This window comes from Homo sapiens, chromosome 13, assembly GCF_000001405.40.
Source record: "Homo sapiens chromosome 13, GRCh38.p14 Primary Assembly".
Taxonomy (NCBI): domain Eukaryota; kingdom Metazoa; phylum Chordata; class Mammalia; order Primates; family Hominidae; genus Homo; species Homo sapiens.
In genome coordinates this window covers 77,776,243-77,787,351 of record NC_000013.11, presented here as the reverse complement: position 1 = coordinate 77,787,351, position 11,109 = coordinate 77,776,243, and the positions used below count along the sequence as shown (strand labels likewise).

The following is an 11,109-nucleotide window of genomic DNA, read 5'->3' as shown; positions in this document are numbered from 1 at the left end:
AGACAGTGTCACAGGACTCTGGTGAGCACCTGTGAGGTCTGGAATGGTATTTCAAGGCCACAGGCTCCAGTGAGTACAGGAGTCACTGCTGGAGGGAATTATTAGTCCCCCCATTACTCCATGATAGTAGGATTCAGACTTCTTATACCAATTCCTGTTCCCTGAAGGGAGTTGAGAAAGCTGTCTGAAATGCACATGAGGAACTGAGCTCACAGGCAAGATGCTTAATCATTAGATAAATATCTTAGCTTGACTGGTTTATCTCTTAACAGACTTGTTCAGTTACACTGTTTATTTCAAATATTTGAAGCTCATATTTCATAGCTTAGGAAGACTGTGGACAAAATCCTTATGTTTTTATTTGAAAGGCTTCCCCGGCCTTCAACAATAAGCTGTCAGAGAAAGAGAAGCAAGCATGGAATTTTAGAGAATGAGCCAGAGAGGCTAACTCAGCTGCAAGGTAGGGTTTTGCTGGAATGGCCAGAAGCTTAAAGCACAGTGTCTGACAACAGATCCAGGATGGTTTAACTGCTGATGAGTTTGTCTGAGCGCAAATGTAAATCCAGCTAGGATCCAGGCTGCTTTAACTACTAAGAGGTCTGAGTTGTCTCAAATCCTTACATGGTAGAATCATGGTCCTGGAGAGCTTTGACTAAGGAAGGGAGGAAAAGTATACAGTTGGGACAGGGTATTAGCAGGTATAAGAGCAGGTAGGGAATAAAAAGTGGTCACAGTCCTAGGTATGTAGATCATGCTTTAGATGAGGCTTTATCCCCATAGGCAGAGTAGAGAACAATCAGGACCTCAGGCCAACCAAATTCTAGCATCACTTCAGGAACCACCTGTTAAAGGGAATGAAGCCGAGTTGGTCAGGATTGACTAAGGAGCCAAGTAAGACTCAGCTGACAGCTGAAATTCTGAAATCCCTGAAGCTGAATAACATATGCCCAAGAGCAACATCTCCAGCAGGTAGATTGACACTGGTTTTTCTAGAAAGTATCTGTTTATTCATTATCATGTATTTCCCTTTAGCTTTTCTATGCAAACTCTTGCCTGCTCATCATGACCTATTTGACAGAATAGGCTGATAAGATGCAGGACTTTAGGTAATGAGATATCAAGTACTGACTAAAAAGTTGACATGATCATTGAGATGAGACTTTGGGTTCTATCCATTTCTATTAGGCTCCACTTAGCTTCCAGACAGAATAGTGATTAAATATCAATTTATGTTTATAGTCAAAGCATTTGTTTCAAAACTTATATTGTGTACTTCAGGGGTTGGCAAACTTTTTCTATAAAAAGCTACATGGAAAATATTTTAGGCTTTGTGGTCTATATGGTCTCTGTTGCAACTACTCTTCTCAGCTGTAGACAACATATGAATGGATGAGCGTGGCTATGTTGCCTTAAAACTTTATTTACAAAGTCAGGTAATGGGCTGGATTTGGTCCATGGGCTGTAATTTGCTGATAATTCCTCATGTCATAATTTGCTACCTACAATCAACAAAGAGGTTGATTGATGTCTTTAATTTCTCTGCATTCTTTTTTTTTCTACTTACAATGCTATTTTGTATTTTTCCTAATTATAAGATCCATTTTCTGTTATCTAAATTTTTTAATTGATATATAATACATATACATATTTGGGGGAACATGTGATAATTTGATACATTCATATAATGTGGAATTGAGGTAATTAGATCAAACTGAGGTAATTAGGATATTCATCCCCTTAAATATTTATATTTTCTTTATGCTAAAAACATTTGAATTATTCTCTTCTAGCTCTTTTGAAATGTACAAAAGATTATTGTTAACTATAGCCATGCTACTGATCTGTCCAACACTATTTCTTACTTTTTCTAACTGTATATATGTCCATTAATCAACCTCTCTTCTCTGTATTCTTTAGAATTGTTTTTTTGTTGAGATTGCTAGGCCTAGCATGAAACATCCACTTCACCACCACTCAGCAACCTGAGAAAGCTGTAAAATTAGTTATATCCAGGGCTTTTTCTTTATGTTTTGGAAACAATCAAACTATTTGCTGTGAATCATAAGATGATAGTTATTTACTTTCTTATCCTAATTTACTAAATAGGAGGTGAATGGCAGAAAGATCTCTGCAGAGTGAAAAAACAATCAGCACATTCAGGTGCTCTCTGGCTCTCTACTTTAGTAGCTAACCTGTGGTATGAATGATCAACCCTTTTGGAACAGAGCTTAGCATGTGTACTTCTCTTCTCTCACCTAGAGAGGATGACTAACTTGGACCCATGAGCACAGATATACAGAAGAACGAAAGGAAAACCTCTAGTGTTCCTGAATCACCTTGGCATAACTCTCACTACATCTTTCCCACAGAGAACCCTCAAAACACTAGTTTATAGACAGACACTGTGCAAACCCTCAGAAATGTTATGGTAGGCACTGAGAGAAAATGTGCTCAGGCTCTTGTCACAATCAGGAGTATTGAATGCAAGCTCCTTTCAATAAAATCCAGCAGATAACACACTGTCATTGTTCTCGACGTTTATCAATCCAGTAATGAGCCTGATGCAATCCAGACTCATCTATCTCAGCAGGATTTCCTAGGTCATCTTTCTTAGAACAAAGCACTTCTGCTTCCACACTGAAAAGGATGAGACCATTGCGATAAGGCAGAGTGGCGCTGGTAACATGATCTGAATGGGATTCTCAGGACCCCAGTGAGGCAACAGGAGGGAATCCATGTGAACCTGCTTTGAGCTGTTCATAAGAACAGCTCAACGTTTTGTTATTGATATTTTTAGCTGTCTTTGTGTTCCTAGGACTTGGCTGGATTCACTGGATTGGTACAAGAAGATCAAAGACAATCCTTTCCTTCAAAGAGCTCCCATTTGGGAGAAAATAAAAACCTCCTGGTAGCCAAAGACTTGTATTTGTTTGCATTTCTTCTCCATCCCGCAGCTTCTCCTTTCCTCCAATGATTTCACAGAGGAATGGCTTTGGTTGGCACAATTTAATAAAATAGGGTTTCTGTTTGAAAAGGCTAAGAATGGATGAGCTGAATCTTTTGACAACCACTCTTATGTGACACATAATTTTTAGATGCTTACATTTACGTCTCCTTCATTTTATTTTTATGTCTCAAAACCACCAAAAACACAAAATATAATAAAACAGACTTCTGTGTACTATTGAAAAAATTCAATAAACTTTAATAACATCTTTCTCTATTGACTCCAGAATTTTTAAAAACAAAGATGATATTATAGTTGCAACTACAAGCCCAATCCCTCATCTTCCCCCCAACTCTCTGAAAAATCATTATTTGAAATTTGAGGTTTAGTTTTCTTGGAATTTTCAGTTGTATTATAATTGCATACAGTTTATATGATTTTTTAATTTTGTTTCAATATTAACATTTGCATAAGTGCTATCATTTTGAACATATCCTTTTTCACTTGTTTTCTTCATTTAGAATTATGTTTTCAAGATTTTTCTATGCTGTTCCACATAACTTAGCTCATTCAGTTTAATTACCACATGGTCTTCCACTAGGTACCGTGGTTTCTTTACCCGTATTCCTTTTGATTCTCATTTGATTTATTTTGATAATTTTGAGAATCATTTTGATTCTCATCTGGTTTATTTCCTATTTTTTGCTATTATGAAAAATACCTCTTGTATCTTTTCATACATCATACATACGTTTTGAGTTTTAGGTACTTATTTTGATACTCTCTTCTTTTGGGGAATATTAATGAAAAACAAAATTTTTAAATTATTTTTATTGTTTTATTTTTCAACTTTTGTTTTAGGATCAGGGAGTATATGTGCCGGTCTATAACATGGGTATATTGAATGAAGGTAAGGTTTGGGGTATGAATGAACCCATCACCCTGGTAATGAGCACAGTACACAAGAGGTAGATTTTTCAGCCCTTGCCCTCCTCCCTCTCCTTCTCCTCTAATGCTCCTCAGTGTCCTTTGCTGCCATCTTTATGTCCGTGAGTATCCAGTGTTAAACTCCCACTTTTAAGCAAGACCATGCGATATTTTATTTTCTGTTTCGGCATCAGTTCACTTAGAATAATGGTGTCTAGCTGCAACCATGTTTCACGAAAGACATGATTTTATCGTTTTTTATGGCTGCATAGTATTCTACGGTGTATATGCTTTCTTTCTTCAGTCCACCATTGATGGGCACTTGGGTTGATTCCATGTTTTCACTATTGTGAATAGCACTGTGATGAACATACGGGTGTATGTGTCCTTTTGGTAGAGCAATTTATTTTCCTTTGGATATATACCCAGTAATGGGATTGCTGGGTCAAATGGTAGTTCAACTCTTATTTTGAGAAATCCCTAGATCACTGTCCACAGCAGCTAAACTAATTTACATTCCCACCAGCAGTGTTATAAGCATTCCCTTTTCTCTGCAGCCTCTTCGGCCAGCATCTATTATTTTGTGACTTTTAAATAACAGCTATTCTTACTGGCATGAGATGTATCTCGTGGTTTCGATTTGCCTTTCTCTGAGGACTAGCGATGATGAGCACTTTTTCATGTTTGTTGACCACTTACACATCTTTTTTTGAGAAGTCTCTGTTCATGTTCTTTGCCCAATTTTTAATGGGATTACTTGGTTTTTGCTTCCTGATTTGTTTAAGTTCCTTATAGATTCTGGATATTAGACCTTAGTTGGATGCATAGTTTGTGAATATTTTCTCCCAATCTTTAGGTTGTCTGTTTACATCTTTGATAGCTCTCTTTCTCTATAGAAGCTCTTCAGCTTGATTAGGGTCCACTTATCAATTTAAAAAAAATGTTTAAAGGAGAAACGCTCAACTCACCCCTTGTGCTCATGTGTACCTACGCACCCAAAATGAACCACCTTCCTCAAACACTTGTTCTGAATTACAAAAACTTTGTATTTTCATCAACTGCAGTATACTCTATAATATCAGGAAAGCAACTCAGCTTTCATCTGTTAGCTATCTGAGTTTTCTTATTCTCTAAGGGTTTGCTATTCCATAACCAAAGGGAGAATATCTGCATTCACAGGAGAGAAGCTATCCAAGTTCTAAAATGTGCTCATTTCTGGTATTTAGAAATAAGAGAGGTTTTGAAGTTATCTCCAAACTGTGATTTAAAATGGTTGATTCTGGGATTTTAAAATATAGAAACTTGCCATGCTATGTTTCTGGTCTGTGAAATCCTAAACTGCTTTTCTCTACACATAGGCCTATTTCCTTTTCAAGCACTGAAATGACAGTCTTGCTTCTGGAGTTGCTGAGGCACTCAAGCACAGCAACCCTGTTGGCAGGGGTCACTTCTGGGAAAGAAGTGATAATGAGCTTGGTCCAGCTGGGCTGCTGGAAGCCAGTCCCTGAGCAGTGGGGGAGATGAGTGTTTGGGGTTGCCTCTTAAGGTTAAGGGACCTGAGAGCATGTGTGAGAAGGGAGGGGTGTGGTGCTGAATGGTTATAATAACTTTCTAAGAGGATTTGGGGTTTTTATAATGAGATTTAAAAAAAAAAAAAAAAAAAAAAGAAGAAGGAAAAAAGGAGCATGCATTTTGGAGTAAAGCCCAAACCAGGAGTAAAGAGCTCTAGCAAACTTATATTTGGGTCTTTGTCCACCAGGCAGTGTGTTAATCCTCCTTTCCTTCAGAATATAAGGCTCCTTCTCTTCAAATTTCACTCAGGGTTCAAGTCAAGCCCATGCTACAGAGTGCATGTTCTCTCTCGTTTCCCAGTGCCATTCTACTGAGTTCACACTTCCTCCCATACTTAAGTAGCCAACAGGGCTATTGTCCCTTCCTGGTAGTCCCAGAAACCAGAAAAAAATCACGCCAAGCTGAAGGCCTGTCACCTGTCCCTCCCGGAACCAAAGCATTGGGCTGTATTTGCAACCCACACCCCTCTAGACCTCTTCAGATTCTACATGTGTCTATCATCACCACCATACTGGCCTCTTTCTACCTATATTGGTCCCATATTAGACCTATATTGTTGACCGACAGCTTATCTATTATATCAAGTACCTTGTCGATCAACTCAAGGTCAAAAACAGCCTCAGCAGTTACTTGTGATTTAATTCATACACAAAGTTTTGTTGCATGTCAACTAGGTGTCAGTTGCCATGACAGATTCTAGAAAGAGGACATAGCCCTGGTCTTGAAGGGGCACAGTCTGTTGAGGGAGACAGACAAATCTATCAGCATCTACCATGTCAAGGTGCTATAAGACATAGTAGTCACAGCCAAGATATACCCGAAGAGGTATCAGGTGACTCTGGAAGTAGGGAATGGAGACAAGAAAAGGGTTGTGGGAAGAGCATTTTGAGCAGAGCAAGCAACAAATGCAGAGGACCAAAGGCAAGAGAAGGCAGATCAAGTGTCAACACTCTATAAGTAGCACATGGGTAAAAAGAAAAAATATGAAATTCACATAGGCAGCTCTACTCAACAGACTTCAGGCCCTTAAAAAATGGAGAAACATGGCCGGGTGCAGTGGCTCATGCCTGTAATCCTAGCACTTTGGGAGGCCAAGGCAGGTGGATCGCCTGAGGTCAGGAGTTTGAGACCAGCCTGGCCAACATGATGAAACCCCGTTTCTACTGGAAATACAAAAATTGGCCAGGCGTGGTGGCGGGCGCCTATGATCCCAGCTACTCGGGAGGCTGAGGTATGAGAATCGCCTGAACCTTGGGGGGCAGAAGTTGCAGTGAGCTGAGATCGTGCCACTGCACTCCAGCCTGGGCAAAAGAGTGAAACTCCGTCTCAAAAAAAAAAATGTGTAGGAACATGATACAGTCAACCCAATGTCTCCCAAAATATAATTATTTGAAGCAAATACACACTTAGGGCCAGTATTATAACCTGTGACAATAGGGACGTAAGTAAAACAAAGGGCAGGAAATTTGCTCTATGTCTAACTAGAGTATGTGGGACCCTCCTGACAATTTTCTGTTGATTAGTGACAGAGTGATGTCAACCCAGACCATGATTTTAGGGTGAGACTATGGTGGGTCCAGAACAGAGGTGGGAAGAACAGATTCAATATACTATATTTCCTTCTATAGTCACACTTAGATTTAAGCCTAGAAAGGCTTAACTGTCTAAGAACATCAGATTAGACAGCTTGATTTTGTTGTGTTTGTGGGTCAGCAAAAGCCTCTCTCAAGCACCTGAGAGTTTGAAGATAAGAGAACATGGTGAGTCATCTGCAGGGCAGCACTTCCTCTTGTGCACTGGTTAAGAGAGTCCTGTCTGTTCACAAAAGAGGCACTGAGGGAGCCACCAGTTGGCATATGCAGCAGGAAGTCAGGAAGTCAACATAGTGTGGAAATTAAGAGAGGGACTTTACAACAACTCTGAATTAGCAGAAAATATTTATGATTGTCATGTCCTCAGCCGCCATGGTTATTGGGCCCTACTTGGACCACCTATGCAAGACTATAAGCCAGAGAGGGACAGACAGGACAAAGGAAAAATGCAAGCAGAAAGAAGCAAGGAATAAAAGAATTCAACTAATTCTCTTGGGTCAGACAAAAAAAAATCATAGCACTTACGGTTTTGACAGGACTGATTCTCAATTGCCAAGCATAAACCAATGTTTGCTTAGATTAATACACTCTAAGTAATTTACTTACCGGAATTCCTAGTCACTAGAAAACTTCTGAGCACACTTAAGTTTCAAATATACCTAGAGCAGATGCTGCCCTCCTGAGGACTGTAGTGATATTGCTGATTGTCTTGTAATAATTTTAAATAAATTTTGAAGATTACCCAGGTGTGTACCCATTTGCATCTATAAGTTAGTCCATATTGATTTATTCAGAAAAAACTTTTTTGCATAAATATATTTTAGTGTTTTTTCTGTAAAGAAAAATGTTTCCAGATTACTAATTGAAACCTGTCTCCATTAAGACTGTTTTTCCTGTCATGAATCATAAAATCCATTTTGTGAAATCTATTTCGTGAGTCATAACCAGATTTTTTTAAAAAAAGATATAAAATAAAACAGAAAAGAAGAAGTAGAAAACATTAGAAGGGGTCCCACAGACCCTTAACATGACCTGTGTGTACCAGGATATGGTCATCGTGAAGTATAAGAAATGTAAGACTTGACTGATGGGATCATGTGAATGCATGCCTTAGCTAGGAAGTGGCATGTGATCCTTTCCTCACTAGTATCTCGTTTGATTTGCTGGCCTGTGATAGTTAATTCAACCATCAACATAATGGAACAGTGTGGTAGGCAGGATTCTAAGGTGGCTCCCAAGATCACTGCCTCTTAGTGTGCACGCTTTGTGTAACTCCCTCCTAAGTGCAGGCTGAACGGGTGCATGTGATAGAATTTGACTCCCATGATTGGGTTACTAATCTGCTGACTTTTTGATCAACCAAAATGGAGAGTATCCCGGTGGGCCAAATCTAAACGAGTCAGATTTATTTTATTTTATTTTATTTTATTATTATTATTTTATTTATTTATTTATTTTTTGAGACGGAGTCTCACTCTCGCCCAGGCTGGAGTGCAGTGGGACGATCTCGGCTCACTGCACCCTCCACCTCCTGGGTTCAAGCGATTCTCCTGCCTCAGCCTCCTGAGTAGATGGGACTACATGTGCACGCCACCACGCCTGGCTAATTTTTGTATTTTTTTAGTAGAGACGGAGTTTCACCACGTTGGCCAGGATGGTCTCAATCTCTTGATCTCGTGATCCATCCGCCTCAGCCTCCCAAAGTGCTGAGATTACAGGCGTGAGCCACTGAGCCTGGCCACAAGTCAGATTTCTAAAAGGCCTGGGTCTCTCCAGAAAGTTGTGAAGCGTTAAGAGGGCACGAGGGCCCGGCGCGGGGGCTCACGCCTGGAATCCCAGCACTTTGGGAGGCCGAGGCGGGCGGATCACGAGGTCAGGAGATCAAGACCACGGTGAAAACCCGTCTCTACTAAAAATACAAAAAATTAGCCGGGCGTGGTGGGGGGCGCCTGTAGTCCCAGCTACTCGGGAGGCTGAGGCAGGAGAATGGCGTCAACCTGGGAGGCAGAGCTTGCAGTGAGCTGAGATCGCGCCACTGCACTCCAGCCTGGGGGACAGAGTGAGACTCCGTCTCAAAAAAAAAAAAAAAAAAAAAAAGAGGGCATTAGGAGAGGCCACGGGAAAAAGTACCGTTGGTGATTGTTAGGACCTGAGCTGGACGCTGGGCTGACCCCCCACAGAACAAGGGCCTCAGCCCCACAGGTCAAGGAACTGAATTCTGCCAACAATAGGAATGAACTTGGAAGACGACCCCCAGCTTCAAAAAGGAAGGCAGCTCATCTGACATTTTGATTTCAGCCTTGTGACTCAAAGTAGAAAACCCTGTCCAGCCCAAACTGGACTTTTGGCCCACAGACACTGTAAGATCATAAATTTGTTGTTCTAAGCCCCTAAATTTGTGGTAACTTGTTATGCAGCCATAGAAAACGAATGCAATTAATGTTCCACAATGTAATTTTGTATTTTACAATTAACCGTGAAACAAAATGCAGCATAACTTTATCCTCTGCAAAAACGCTGAGACTTTCCACTAGTTTGAGTGATGAACTTTCAATATTTCTGCAGGATGCCTCTTTCAACATTTGCTAAGTTCTTGACAACTGTTACTTTTTCATTATAATAGTTCAATTATCTTTCAAAATGACTTTGTTATTAGAAGGAAAAAGAAAAATGACATGCAAAATACAAAGGCATGATCAAGTTCAAGTTTAACTGCTGGATCTAAAAGAGCAAATAGTATATTAAGAAAAGTGTTGACTCTACTCATGAAACTTTTAATTCATTTGAGCACCATCCCTAAAAAGGGCAAGATTTTATAATATTATATAATATTTGTTTTATTGATTATGCAATGTAATGACAGACCTAGGCATAATACTTTTTAAACTGTTCTTCAAATTAAAGCTTACACACTTCAAAATTGAGATATCTGAAAGTACAAAATATTGAACTTATTAATAAGTCCCTTGAATATTATTTAAAAAGAAAAATAGTGAAGCTTGGCACTGTTTCGTAGCTATTCTACAACAATTAGAAAGTCTCATATTAAAATAGGATTGACAGATTGATTATCTGATAAGCTTGACTACGTGGAAGAGAAGTGTTTTACAGAGTCATGCAGAATGTAAAAACCATACCTGCAAGCTCAAAGAAATCTAAGACTTTTTTGTTAAATGAAGCAGTTATTAACTCCAGGAAAATATGTGAAATCAATGAATGATGTTTTCACCAAAATCTTGTTTATATTGGGAAAGTGAAGGGAACTTCATACAAGAGAGCTATAGTAGACATGAGTACTGGCCACCAGTATTTCCAGGTCTCTCCTCCTTGCTGGACATAGGAGATTATGTTTCCTTGCTTCCTTTGCAGTCATGTGACTGGTGGTGGTAATAGACAGTTATAGGAGATGACACGTGTCCCTTTCAGTCTGAAGCACGAGGGACCTAGTTGGTGCTCTATTTTACATATTCTCTCTCCCTGCTGTTATAAACCCTGGTGCCTTGTGTTGCTACCAGAAGGATTTACTATAGGGAAGCGTTATAAGGTAGAGTGACTACATGAAGCAAGCCCACTTCTGCCCTCTATCAGACATAGACCACAACGGAGAAATAGTTGTTTTTAACCTGAGATTTGGAGATTATTTCTTACTGCAAGACCATGTACACCAAGAAATTGGCAAACTCTTTCTGAAAACCATAAGTGAATATTTTAGGCTTTGCAGGCCACAGTCTCTGTTACATATGATTTTTTTCAACAACTCTATAAAAATATAAAAATCACCCTTAGCTTGTAACAAAAGAGTAGGCTGTGGGTGGAATCTGGCTCATGGACCATAGTTTGTGACCAAGTTCTAGACAACTATGGAGGGGATTATCAGGGGGCTGACAGCTTTCTCAAAAGCTGAGATGGCAGCTTCAACACAGGAGGGGTGGAAATTCACACCCCTCAGGAACATCCTCAACCTTGACTGATGGGAGGAGGTATATATATACCTCAGCTCCTGAGCAGACTAGCCCTGAGGTGTGCATTTATATCTCAGAATTTTCTTGTAGAATTTTCCAGTTGCCCACA

The 11,109-nt window shown here is 39.7% G+C and overlaps 1 annotated feature.

The window, feature by feature from the left end:
* Nucleotides 2,453-3,025: an enhancer, noted in NCBI's record as "NANOG hESC enhancer chr13:78358462-78359034 (GRCh37/hg19 assembly coordinates)". NCBI's record gives its function as "activates a minimal SCP1, AML or CMV promoter by ChIP-STARR-seq in naive H9 embryonic stem cells {active_cell/tissue: H9 hESC(naive)}" and the evidence as "EXISTENCE:reporter gene assay evidence [ECO:0000049][PMID:30033119]".